Source organism: Homo sapiens, chromosome 5, assembly GCF_000001405.40.
Source record: "Homo sapiens chromosome 5, GRCh38.p14 Primary Assembly".
Lineage (NCBI taxonomy): Eukaryota > Metazoa > Chordata > Mammalia > Primates > Hominidae > Homo > Homo sapiens.
Window position 1 is genome coordinate 177,743,366 of NC_000005.10, and position 13,998 is coordinate 177,757,363.

At 42.9% G+C, this 13,998-nt stretch overlaps 1 protein-coding gene across 27 annotated transcripts in view; it reads right to left on the reverse strand.

Moving 5' to 3' along the window:
* Nucleotides 1-13,998, reverse strand: part of FAM153A (family with sequence similarity 153 member A) — an 89,179-nt gene that overhangs the window by 49,119 nt on the left and 26,062 nt on the right. For 13 of the 27 annotated variants that reach the window (XM_017009359.2, XM_017009358.2, XM_011534520.3 and 10 more), the window contains exons 1-6: nucleotides 9,811-9,958; nucleotides 7,544-7,687; nucleotides 5,276-5,334; nucleotides 4,404-4,428; nucleotides 1,523-1,602; nucleotides 1,029-1,053 (exon numbers count right to left, since the gene is read on the reverse strand). In XM_017009359.2, coding sequence (XP_016864848.1) covers nucleotides 1,029-1,053; nucleotides 1,523-1,602; nucleotides 4,404-4,428; nucleotides 5,276-5,334; nucleotides 7,544-7,687; nucleotides 9,811-9,841 — 364 coding nt within the window. In that variant the 5' untranslated portion in view covers nucleotides 9,842-9,958. Of the gene's footprint in view, nucleotides 1-1,028; nucleotides 1,054-1,522; nucleotides 1,603-4,403; nucleotides 4,429-5,275; nucleotides 5,335-7,543; nucleotides 7,688-9,810; nucleotides 9,959-13,998 lie in introns of those variants that run through there. The other 14 variants (NR_146226.2, NR_146227.2, XM_017009364.2 and 11 more) reach the window with 4 other exon arrangements.

Genomic DNA, 13,998 nt, shown 5'->3' on the forward strand with positions numbered 1-13,998 from the left:
TCGCCCTGCCTCTCAGACCCTAGGGCAAACCCCTTGGTTTTCTTTTCATGTAGTTTCTGAGCCGAGCACACAGAAACCATGACTAGGCTGAGGGATAGAAGGCTGAAACTCTATATGACCCTGGAATTATCCATTCTGGGCCCCATTATCTTATGGTCAATATGAGGCCTCAATGGAGAAAGTTGGGGTGATTTCACCCCAACCCCACCTGCAGGCTCCTCTCTTCTCAGTTTCCCAGCAGAACTCGCTGTAGCATGAGGCTGCTCCAGGGTCTAAATGCACAGGAAGAAGCCCTGCCCCACTCTCCCTGCTCAAGATGGGTGGTGGAGGGTCAATTCTGAGGGCTTTGGTAGATAAAAGGCTTGTAAAGGAGGGAAGGGGCTAGAGTGAGGTGTCATGACCACTCCAGTGGCAGAGGAAATAGAAAGGCCTGTGAAGAGGTGAGGTTTATTAGAAAATAAAGTATAGCAGGGAATTCTGAATGAAAAAATAAAATCAGCAGAGATTCTGACACAGTCCTGTTCTATGGGTGTGCAGTAAGAATTTGCCTTTGTGTTGACAGGATTTCTTTTAGGTTTATTGAAGTGCCCTGTGCATGAAATAAACTGCAAACATTGGAAGCTTACAAGTTAATCTTTTTTTGTGCCTACAATAGGACCGCAATGGTGACGGAAATCTCTGTTGAGAATGTGGACACTAGAAACTCTGGGGATATGTAGTATGGAAACCCACACACCCGCCCGCCAGACACACGGACCATGGCACCACATGAATTCACAAAAGACATGGCAGGCCCCTTGCACGGGATCCCACCCCACCTTCAGAGAACACAGTTGTTCCCGGGGACTGCAGAATGTGGCCACTGTTTCTTATCTAGAAAAACCATTTCTCCCATCACAGTCTAGGTCCTCATTCACAACATGAAGCTCAGCTCAGGCTGCCTGTCTACAGGAAAGCCTGTGAGACAGGGCCACATTCCTCAACATCTAGATTACTCATCAGTATGAGAGGGGTTCCCCAATACGTACCACATTGTGGAACTCCCAAGGATGTCTGTAACGACAGAAAATAAATTGCTATGAGCATCAGACCATGCTGTGTCCTGTGAGCACAGGACTTTTCTTCACTTAGTGACATTAGAAAACAAGATGGAAAAACCAGTGTTCAAAGGAACCCCAAAGAAGAACAGAGCAAATCAACTCATACTAAAGACACAAATTTTTCTCAGAGGATATTTCCTCTCAAGTCCATGTTGGTTGGCAAGTAACTGATTTTGCTCCAAAGAGAGAACAAAATTAGTAAGGCAAAAGCTCCCTGCCCCACAATGTGTGACTGATGCTGTCATTTTCTCCCACTGTTTTAAATCAAGCCTCAGTGGGGACAGACTCTCACTTACAATTCCCCCCAAGGACACTGTGTAACTAAGATACATATTGTCAGAGTCTCATATCTTAATGTAATCCAAATAAGATAAAGCTAAGAAAGCAACAGTTTTTTCTCAGACAAATCCAGGTGGCCTGACCTTCATCGCCTCTTGGTACTTCTTCCATGTGCTGTATAGGTGGAGCTCCCGTAGTCGCCGTAGTTGCCGTTTCATCTCAACTAGGAGGATACAGAGTGACCGTCAGCACCTTGGTGGTGGCGCTCATGAACAATTCAGTAACACTGCTTGAGGTGGGCTTGGGAGGAGGGTAGCAGGCACAGGAGAGATGCAGGAAGAAAGGGAATCAGGGCCTTTGGCTTCCTAGCTCCAGGCCGCCTCATAAACATATAATAGCCAATCTCAAACAGTGCACACCAGCAGTGCAGGCTGTGTGTCCCTGGCAGCCTCTTAGGGCTCCTCCTTCCTAATCTGACCTGAGCTAACTTGCCCTCTTATTGATCCCTGCCAAAGTCATTTCCTCCTCAGAATCCACATGTGCTGCTGATCTGTTTATCATCCCTTCTAGAAGATTTTGTACTAAACAAGAAGTAACCTTTCTTAAAATAGGAGATTTAATTCTAGCCAAAAGATTTTATTACTAACTTTCTGTTACAAGGCAAATAAACAGAGATTTGAAAATACTCTATTATCCTACCATTTAACGATGACCCCTACTTAGCATGTGATATTTGTTCTTCCGCTCTTCCTTTTCAACACCATGTGTGTGCACCATGGAGTTCACTGCTGCTCATGCTCACACTGACTCCAGCACAGAGACAGTCTGTCATGGGGAGCAGCGAGGCGGGGCAAGGGGTGGGCACTGACCCTCTCCAACCCAGCTGTGCAGAGATTCCAGCAGGGAAAATGGGTGCCAGGCTAACACCCAAGTTGAGTCTTGAGATTTTATTGGATGCTATGTGTTGGGATTGGTTTCCACTGAATTTCTAAGACTTGCGGTGATTATCTCCTTAAATACAATAGAGTATGTCACTGATTATTGTCTGCTTTTGAACAGGAGCTGAGGAATGACCTCAACGCTGTAGACCAAAAGCCTGAGGACTCTGTGTGTTTTACATTAATGATCACACTAAAGCCCACTGTGCAATGTACCTACTCAAACAAACCCTGGGTTAGCTGACCATTGAGACCATCCGATAATGATAGTGTTTGGGATCTGAATAGGTTTTCATTCTTCCAGCACACAGAAGTGCTGGAATAACTTGGCCTAGCAAGAAATTATACCAGGGCTTTGTGACAAATTCAGTGTAGTAGCCCATGGCATTAACCTTCCACTCATTCCCGAGTTCACATGTGCCTCTTCCATTTAAAAGACCAAGAGCTTGGGAAATTCAACTCTGCAGCATGTCCATCCGAGGACTGGGGATATTAAACTTATCTTCAGGTACAGCTGTGGTGGACGATGAATGGGTAGCTGAGTAGCTGGTATTACAGACATGTGCTCCCTGAGTAGCTGGTATTAAAGACATGTGCTTCCTGAGTAGCTGGTATTAGAGACATGTGCTCCCATGCCCAGCTAATTTTGTATTTTTAGTAGAGATGGGGTTTCTCCATGTTGATCAGGCTGGTCTTGAACTCCTGACCTTAGGTAATCCACCCTCCTTGGCCTCCCAAAGCACTGGGATTACAGGCATGAGCCACCGTCTCCAGCCAGAACATTTTGTACGAGGTAAAAAGCAACCTTTCTTCAAAGAGGTGATATAATTCTAGCCAAAATATTCTACATATTCACTAACCTTTTGTTTCAAAGAAGACTAAACCAAGATTTGAAAATACTCAATTATCCTACCATTTAAAGATGACCTCTACTTAGCCTGTGATATTTGTCCTTCTGCTCTTTCTTTTAACACTGTGTGTGTGTGTCATGGGGCCCGCTGTTGCTCATACTCACACTGGCTCCAGGAATGGGACAGCCCTTCATGGGTGACAGCAGGTGGGGGCGCTGACCCTCTGTTACCCAGCTGTGCAGAGATTCCAGCAGACGAGATGGGCACCAGGCTAACAGCCAATTGGCTCTGTGAGATCTTGTTGGGTGCTGTGTCTTGGGTATGTGTGCTACTGAATTGGAGCATTTCTAACGTTTGTGGTGATGATCTCATTAAATATAATAGAATATATCTCTGAATGTTCTCTGCCCTTGACCAGGAACTGAGGAATACCCCATCACTTAAGACCAAAGGCCTGGCAGCTCCCTCTGTATGTTTCATATTAATGACCGCACCCAAGTTCACTGTACAATGAACCTACTCAAACTCTGGGTCAGCTGACCATTGAGACCATTCTATTGTGGTATACAGTGCTGGAGATCTTTATAGGCCAACATACTTCCACATACACATAGATGCTAAGGACTCTCTGACATGGTGACAAGTTACACCAGGGCCATGTTATAACTTCAGACTAGTAGCCCACAGCATCACCCTTCCACCCATTCCTGAGTTCATCTATGCCATTTCCATTTAGGAGACCAAAAGCCTGAAAAATTCATCTCTACATCATCTCCATGTGAGGACTTGGGATATTAAACTTACCTTCAGCTACAGCTGTGGTGAGGAATGAATGGGTTGATTTTTTGCAAAAATGCAGTGGTGATCAAATTTTGTTTCTAGAATATCAATCTTTGTGTTGTGCTTTGCATATGGGAACGTATTTTCTGGGGAAAAGCACACAAACTCGCAGAGACATTCACAATCATTCCACATTGAGTCATTCCTCCATACCTCCCAACTCTGATTCACAACACCCTCTTCTATCCAAATGACCCTGTTCCTTCCAAGCACCAGAGTCAACAGTCACATTTCTTGACCAGGTTCTTCACTTGTCAAGACAAAAGTGCTTGAACCACATTTCTGGCAGGAAGTTCAAACCAGAGTGGCTCTCCAGAAAAAATGAGGCAAGAAAGTGTCACCTTTGTCAACACTAGAATTTTTCCTCAGCATAGGGGTGATTCCAGAATACGTACTGTCTCTCTCTGTGTCTTTGTCCACCTGCATTTAGAGAAAAACAAAACACTACAAGGGTCAGACCATGCTGTGTCCTGTGTGCACAGGTTTTCCTTTTCCCTCCCTCCCTTCCTTCTTTTCTCTTTCTTTCTTTCCTTTCTTTTCTTTCTTTTTCTTTCTTTCTCTTTTTCTCTTTCCTTCCTTCTTTCTTTCCCTTCCTTCTTTCTCTTCCTTCTTCCCTTCCCTTCTTCCTTCCTTCCTGCCTCTCTCTCTCTCTCTCTCTCTCTCCCCTACTCCCTCTCTCCCTTTCTTTGCTGGAATTTCGCTCTGTCACCCAGGCTGGAGTACAGTGTCATGATCATGGCTCACTGCAACATCCGCCTCCTGGCCTCAAGCGATCCTGCTCCCTTAGCCTCCCCAGTAGCTGAGATTACAGTAGCCGGTCAGCATGCCCAGCTAATTTTTGTATTTTTAGTAGAGATGGGGTTTCACCATACAAGTCTTTTCTTTACTTGGTGACATTAGAAAAGCAGATGGGAGACAGTGGTTGAGGCAATGGTCCTAAAGCCTCGAAGACACTTCTGGAAAGGCACAAGATTTTTATGCAAGACTTTCAAGATTGTTTTGGTTGTATAGTCACAATGTTGTAAGAAGAAAGCTTTTCCCCTAACAAAAATTCTTTCTGCCATACAGTTCATAACTGAAGGTGTCATCTAAGAATGCCATCTGAGATCATTTCTTACCTGGTAATGACCCTCACATTTTCCCACCAAAATATTCTGTAAGTCATCTATAATGTACATGGTAAGATTTTCATATCTCAATTCAAATAAAATAAAAAAGAACCAAGAGCAACAAAATTTCCATCTCAGAAACATAAAGAAGAACTTACCATATGAACGCCCAGGACATCTTCAGATGAAGCTTCCTGCACCAGGTCCTCATCGTAATCTAGGAAACACAGAGTAACTGTCATCATGTTGGTTCCACTGAAGGAATCCCTTAGGCAACCTTGGATGCTAAGGACAGGGGGCTGGCATGTGTAAAGGAGGTGGGTTAAGGGTAGAAACTTGGCTTCCACTGGGACACCCTCCTGGGTGATGAGGGAAGGCAAATGAGACCATCAGGAAGCCACAGAAGTCAGGACCTGGTTCTCTGGCTAAGCCCCCACACCACTGCGAAAAAGGCAGAGTTCACACAGGGTGGCACACAAATGCACTGCTGATTTCATGACAGTGTCCCATCACCCCCTTGTGCATTTTGAGGCCCGGTAAATTTCTTTTGTTGTTGAAATGTTATAATGTCATTTATCTTTCCTTGATCTACATATGCTCCTCCTGTACTTATCATCCATTTAATTGGCTTTAAAATCAGTATTGTGGCCAAAATACATCGTATTTATTATTTTAATAATCAAGTGCACACTTCAGGGGCATCAGTGCCATTCACAATTCTGTGCAGTAAACTAAATGTAATCCAAATCCAGATGTCTTACTTCCCACCTTAGGAAACTAGAGAAAAAAGTATAGTGTAATGTAAACCAGGCAACCCTCCTCCCCCAAAATATAACAATATTTGCAGAAATCAATGTAATAGAAATAATAAAATAAAGAAACTCAACAAAACCAAAAGCTGCTTCTTAGAAAAGATCAATAGAATTGGTAAACCTCCAGCAAGGCTAATCACAAAGAAAATAGAGAAGACACGATGTACAAACAATATGAATAGAAGAGGAATTATCCTTGCTGATCCCATAATCATTAAGAAAATAATAACAGAATACTTTCAACAAATCTATGCCTGCAATTTTTTAAGTGCAGGAGTGAAAGTCTATTGAAATGTTTGAGAGTAGGAATGACAGGAAGCACAGCAGCCTTTGATGAGAACCAAGCAGGCAACTTGTCAGATTCAAGTGTCTATACCCACAAATTTCCTAGCTTAGATGAAATGGACAAATGCCTTCAAAGGGAGAAACTACCATAACCACCCAAAGGAGAGATAGATAATCTGAGTAGGCCTCTATCATTATAGAATTTAATCAGGAAGTAATAACTTAAAAAAAAAATGCCCACATAATTGTACTGGTGAATTCTGCCTAACACAATGGAAAACATAGTCTTACCAGCAAGTGATCAAAATTCTACATATTTACCCAGCTAAATTAGAAAATTATGTTCATCTTAAAATCTGCACAAGAATGTGGGCAGCTTTATTCATAATTACCCAAATTGGAAGCAGCTCAGATGGTCTTCAGGCAGTGAGTGAACCAACTAACCCTGTTCGATGAAACCAATGGACTATTGTTCACTGATAAGAATTATTAAGCTGTTAAGCTTCAAAACGATACAAAAGATCTTACATGTATATTGCTAAGTAAAATAAGTTAGTTATACGTAGCTACATACTCTATGATTCCAACTCTATAAAATTCTGGAAAAGGAAACCTATAGAGGCAGTAAAAATCATCCATAGTTGTCAGGAATCCTCAGAAAAGGAGAGGAATTAGTAGATGCAGCTCAGGTCATGTTTAGGATGTGAAATTATTCCGTCAGGGTGACAAAAGACATTGTCAGTTTGTCAAAACCCATAGGCTGGACAACACAGAGTGAACCTTGATGCTAACCCTAGATTTCTGTTCATAAGAATGTATCACTATTGGCTCAGTCACTGATGCTAACCTTGGACTTCTGTTCATAAGAATGTATCACTATTGGCTCAGTCATTGTTACGAGCGTTATCACACTCACAAAGATGGGATCACCAAAAAACACTGAGGAAGGTGGGTATATGGAAATTTTTGTTGCCACTTCCTCCATTTTTCGGTTACTTCCAAACAGTTTGAAGTGATGTCCATTACTTTACAAACCTGGCAACACTGTCTCAGAAAAAGATCCTTTTTAATTAATGTTTTAACAATCAGCAAAATGTCTACAATTTGCACTGAGATGTTATTTACTATTAAAAGTAAACCCAAATCTGGAATGGAAATACACCTTTACTCCTCTGGTTGTAGCACTAGTGATTGACTTAACACATTTAAATATGCACACATGAAATAAAGAATATAGCATCGCAATTTTATAATTGTCTGAAATATGAGACACTGAAGAATCTAGAAATCATATCATGAATGAACTGAATGACTGAATTTCCACAACACCTTCCATTGATGCAATTCTAGGGTATATATGGCCGGGATGCCAGTGATACCAGTGATAGGTGATTGGCTTCTCACGCTCGCGGTGGCAGACGGTGGATTCCCCTGGCATCCTAGGATACACTATTTCATCCTCGCCACAACACACTGGGAAATGAATTAAAATAAAGACAGGTGTTGGTGTCTTGCCGCAAAAGATCAGAGAAATGAGTAATTATTTATTCACAGCTTAAATGTTTGATTCCATTGTTCATCATCTGCAGAGCAAAGCCCCCTGAATCTGAGTTGGGCTTCAGAAAGACTTGCACTGTGGGTTGCACGTATAAGTGTGCAGGCAAATGCCTGTATTGAGATGAGACATTACAGAAAGGTAGTAGATTGGAGTGACCAAGAGCATAGGGTCCGGAGCATAGGATCTGAGCTCAGGGACTTCTGAGAAGCTGCTAGAACCTGAGGAAGTTCTATAGATCCCTCTGTGCCTCCTAATGGCCTACGTTATGTTAAAAGGGTAAGAAGAGTTAAATGGACCTAAAGCCTTAAAACGGGTGCTTCCTAAGTGCCACAAAGTGTTCAATTATTTCATGTCTGGAAGAATAAGCCAGGCCCTTGGTAGTGGTTAATAGAGAAGCCACTTGGGGGACTCCAGGGCAGTGGAGGCTAAAATTCTTTTCATTCTTGACATGGGTCTCATGCTTTAGAACTCGTGAAAAGTTTTTGTTTGAATTTCCTGTGATGCCCACATCGGCCCAGAGAGATGGGCAGAGCAGGGGCTGCCACTCAGAGTTGACGGTTCAGGGAAGTGAAATGAAGAGATTTGAAGCGACCTGCCTAGGGTCACAACACTGACGAATGATAGATCTGCGACAAGAATTTGGTTGGTTTTCTGGGGACAGAGATCCCTGAATACCTGAGGCCTCTAAATCATGGCCTGGACCCTGAACCTGGAGCTCTTTCCACGCCCTTTCTCAATCCTCCTGCACCAAGGGCTCTTCAGGAAGGTTGATGTATTTGGAAGAGGTGGTGAGTCCAGAAAAAAGCCAAATCATTTAACAAAACAAAACTCCTGTCTCTAGGTTTTAACTCCTGGGCTAAAATATGGCACTTTCCCGCAAACGAAGCCTCTCTGAGGAACAAATTCAAATGTCTGGTCATCCTACCCATTGCCCTGTATTGTCAGCTGTCTGGCAGTGAGCACCCCTCCATGACCAACTGACCACAGCAAGGGACCAAGTTCTGCTTGGCCCCCAAGGTAGTTCGGAACTTAGGACATTCCAAACTAACTACCACTTGATGGCTGTGCCAAGAATAAACTTCCCTTCAACTGAACCATTCTGAAGAAGCAATTAATGGGAATTAACTGAAAATGTGGCCCCCCAGTGGATTTTTCAGCAGTTTATTCTGTATCTAGTCTATGAAAGAGTGTGTGTGGCGGGGGAGGCCGGGTGTGGTGGCTCACACCTGTATCCCAGCACTTTGGGAGGCCAAGGTGGGCAGATCACAAGGTCAGGAGTTCAAGACCAGCCTGGTCAATATGGTGAAACCCTGTCTCTACTAAAAATACAAAAATTAGCCAGGCATGGTGGCAGGCACCCGTAGTCCCAGCTACTTGGGAGGCTGAGGCAGGAGAATCGCTTGAACCTGGGATGCAGAGGTTGCAAAGAGCTGAGATTGTGCCACTGCACTCCAGCCTGGGTGACAGAATGAGACTCTGCCAAAAAAAAAAAAAAAAAAAAAAAAGAAAAGTCCAGGCACTGTGGCTCATGCCTGTAATCCCATCACTTTGGGAGGCCAAGGAAGGTGGATCAGGAGGTCAGGAGTTCAAGACCTCCCTTGCCAACATGGTAAAACCCTGTCTCTACTAAACATACGAAAATTAGCCAGGCGTGGTGGCGGATGCCTGTAATCCCAGCTACTCAGGAGGCTGAGGCAGGAGAATTGCTTAAACCTGGGAGGTGGAGGTTGCTGTGAGTCATTATCACACCACTGCATTCTAGCCTAGGCAACAGAGCAAGACTCTTCACTCTTCCAAAAAAAAAAAAAAAAATTGGCATTGGAAACAGTGTATTTTCTAGAGAAAAGTATTTGAGGCAAAAATCTTGATAGAAGAATAAAAAAACACAAATTGAGTAATAAAACTCTGAAACATATTTATAAATCTGTAGACAAATAGGAGCTGGGGAAATTAAAAAAATCAGAATGACATTTAACATACAGGAAAACTGGCTCATCTGAAGAAATTGCAGTCAGAAGATGGAAATGAACATACATACCTTCAAGGCAACAACTATAAACACATCCCATTGTGAGTCCTCTGAGACAACTAAGCTGCGTTTACTGCCAACGTTCAGTTGCCAGAATGGCAGTTAAAATGAAAGGCAAGACCTATATCATCAGATCACCTCAGCAACAGGTCACAGTAGAATTTTCGCAAGCATCCATGTCACAATATGGGGCCCAACTGCTGTGATCTAGACCAGTCCATTGTCACATCGACAAGGGGTCACTTACACTCCATGTTTCATTTCAAAAACTGAATCTCAGACACACAGTATTATTCTATGTGTATGAAACAAACATTAAAGGAGGAAAAAGATTTGCCTCTCAAATATATTTGATAGTGAAAATTTCAGGGTAAAAATAAGAAAAGCTAATACATTGAGAATAAAGGGAGATTCCAGGCTTGATGTGAAATGCCTTCCCCACCAATTTCTACTATTCCTGAGTCACCAGAGAGTCCTAGCTTCAACAATTCTAAACTAGCTCCAAATTACATTTAAAATGCATTAGTGTAACTTCAATTTTAAAGCCAATCTCTAACAATATAATTCATAGTAATAAAAAAAGATATGATTCAGTACAACTTTCCATCACTGTTGATTCATCACAAGTTTTAAGAACTATTAAATCAAATGGGTCATTAATGAGGCACAAAAACTGCATTAATAGGGGGTGGAGCCAAGATGGCCGAATAGAAACAGCTCCAGTCTGCAGCTCCCAGCGTGAGTGATGCAGAATACGAAGGATTTCTGCATTTCCAACTGAGGTATCAGGCTCACCTCATTGGGGATTGTCGGACAGTGGGTGCAGGACAGTGGGTGCAGTGCACCAAGTGTGAGCCGAAGCAGGGCAAGGCATTGCCTCACCCAGGAAGTGCAAAGGGTCAGGGAATTCCCTCCCCTAGCCAAGGAAAGGGATGACAGGCTGCACCTGGAAAATCAGGTCACTCCCACCCTAATACTGCGCTTTTCCAATGGTCTTAGCCAACGGCACACCAGGAGATTATATCCTGCACCTGGCTCGGAGGGTCCTATGCCCATGGAGCCTCGCTCATTGCTAGCACAGCAGTCTGAGATCAAACTGCAAGGCTGAAGCGAGGCTGGGGTAGGGGCGCCCGCCATTGCCCAGGCTTGAGTAGGTAAACAAAGTGGCTGGGAAGCTCTAACTGGGTGGAGCCCACCGCAGCTCAAGGAGGCCTGCCTGCCTCTGTAGACTCCACCTCTGGGGGCAGGGCATAGCCAAACAAAAGGCAGCAGAAACCTCTGCAGACTTAAATGTCCCTGTCTGACAGCTTTGAAGAGAGTAGTGGTTCTCCCGGCACACAGTTTGAGATCTGAGAACTGACAGACTGCCTCCTCAAGTGGGTCCCTGACCCCCAAGTAGCCTAACTGGGAGGCACCACCCAGTAGGGGCAGACTGACACCTCACATGGCCGGCTACTCCTCTGACACAAAACTTCCAGAGGAACAATCAGGCAGCATCATTTGCTGTTCCTCAATATTCGCTGTTCTGCAGCCTCCACTGCTGACACCCAGGCAAACAAGGTCCGGAGTGGACCTCCAGCAAACTCCAACAGACCTTCAGCTGAGGGTCCTGGCTGTTAGAAGGATAACTAACAAACAGAGAAAGGACATCCACACCAAAACCCCATCTGTATGTCACCATCATCAAAGACCAAGGGCAGATAAAACCACAAAGATGGGGAAAAACAGAGCAGAAAAACTCAAAATTCTAAAAATCAGAGTGCCTCTCCTCCTCCAAAGGAACGCAGCTCCTCACCAGTAACGGGACAAAGCTGGATGGAGGATGACTTTGACGAGTAGAGAAGAAGGATTCAGATGATCAAACTTCTCTGAGCTAAAGGAGGAAGTTCAAACCAATGGCAAAGAAGTTAAAAACCTTGAAAAAAGATTAAATGAATGGCTAACTAGAATAACCAATGCAGAGAAGTCCTTAAATGACCTGATGGAGCTGAAAACCATGGCATGAGAACTATGTGACAAATGCACAAGCCTCAGTAGTCGATTCGATCAACTAGAAGAAAGGGTATCAGTGATGGAAAATCAAATGAATGAAATGAAGCGAGAAGAGAAGTTTAGAGAAAAAAGAATAAAAAGAAACAAACAAAGCCTCCAAGAAATATGGGACTATGTGAAAAGACCAAATCTATGTCTGATTGGTATACCTGAAAGTGATGGGGAGAATGGAACCAAGTTGGAAAACACTCTGCAGGATATTATCCAGGAGAACTTCCCCAATCGAGCAAGGCAGGCCAACATTCAAATTCAGGAAATACAGAGAGTGCCACAAACATACTCCTCGAGAAGAGGAACTCCAAGACACATAATTGTCAGATTCACCAAAGCTGAAATGAAGGAAAAAATGTTAAGGGCAGCCAGAGACAAAGGTCGGGTTACCCACAAAGGGAAGCCCATCAGACTAACAGCTGATCTCTTGGCATAAACTCCACAAGCCAGAAGAGAGTGGGGGCCAATATTCAACATTCTTAAAGAAAAGAATTTTCAACCCAGAATTTCATATCCAGCCAAACTAAGCTTCATAAGTGAAGGAGAAATAAAATCCTTTACAGACAAGCAAATGCTGAGAGATTTTGTCACCACCAGGCCTGCCCTACAAGAGCTCCTAAAGGAAGCACTAAATATGGAAAGGAACAACCGGTACCAGCCACTGTAAAACCATGCCAAATTGTAAAGACCATCAAGGCTAGGAAGAAACTGCGTCAACTAACGAGCAAAATAACCAGCTAACATCATAATGACAGGATCAAATTCACACATAACAATATTAACCTTAAATGTAAATGGGCTAAATGCTCCAATTAAAAGACACAGACTGGCAAATTGGATAAAGAGTCAAGATCCATCAGTGTGCTATATTCAGGAAACCCATCTCACGTGCAGAGACACACACAGGCTCAGAATAAAGGGATGGAGGAAGATCTACCAAGCAAATGGAAAACAAAAAAAGGCAGGGGTTGCAATCCTAATCTCTGATAAAACAGACTTTAAACCAACAAAGATCAAAATAGACAAAGAAGGCCATTACATAATGGTAAAGGGATCAATTCAACAAGAACAGCTAACTAACCTAAATATATATGCACCCAATACAGGAGCCCCCAGATTCATAAAGCAAGTCCTTAGAGACCTACAAAGAGACTTAGACTCCCACACAATAATAATGGGAGACTGTAACACCCCACTGTCAACATTAGACAGATCCACGAGACAGAAAGTTAACAAGGATATCCAGGAATTGAACTCAGCTCTGCACCAAGCAGACCTAATAGACATCTACAGAACTCTCCACCCCAAATCAACAGAATATACGTTCTTCTCAGCACCACATCACACTTATTCCAAAATTGACCACATAGTTGGAAGTAAAGCACTCCTCAGCAAATGTAAAAGAACAGAAGTTATAACAAACTGTCTCTCAGACCACAGTGCAATCAAACTAGAACTCAAGATTAAGAAACTCACTCAAAACCACTCAACTACATGGAAACTGAACAACCTGCTCCTGAATGACTACTGGCTACATAACAAAATGAAGGCAGAAATAAAGATCTTCTTTGAAACCAACGAGAACAAAGACACAACATACCAGAATCTCTGGGACACATTTAAAGCAGTGTGTTAGAGGGAAATTTATAGCACTAAATGCCCACAAGAGAAAGCAGGAAAGATCTAAAATTAACACCCTAACATCACAATTAAAAGAACTACAGAAGCAAGAGCAAACATATTCAAAAGCTAGCAGAAGCAAGAAATAACTAAGATCAGAGCAGAACTGAAGGAAACAGAGACACAAAAAGCCCTTCAAAAAATCAATGAATCCAGGAGCTGGTTTTTTGAAAAGATCAACAAAATTGATAGACTGCTAGCAAGACTAACAAGAAAAGAGAGAAGAATCAAACAGAGGCAATAAAAAATGATAAAGGGGAGATCACCACCGATCCCACAGAAATACAAACTACCATCAGAGAATACTATAAACACCGCTACACAAATAAACTAGAAAATCTAGAAATGGATAAAGTCCTTGACACATACAATCTCACAAGACTAAACCAGGAGGAAGTTGAATATCTGAACAGACCAACAGGCTCTGAAATTGAGGCAATAATTAATAGCTTACCAACCAAAAAAAGTCCAGGA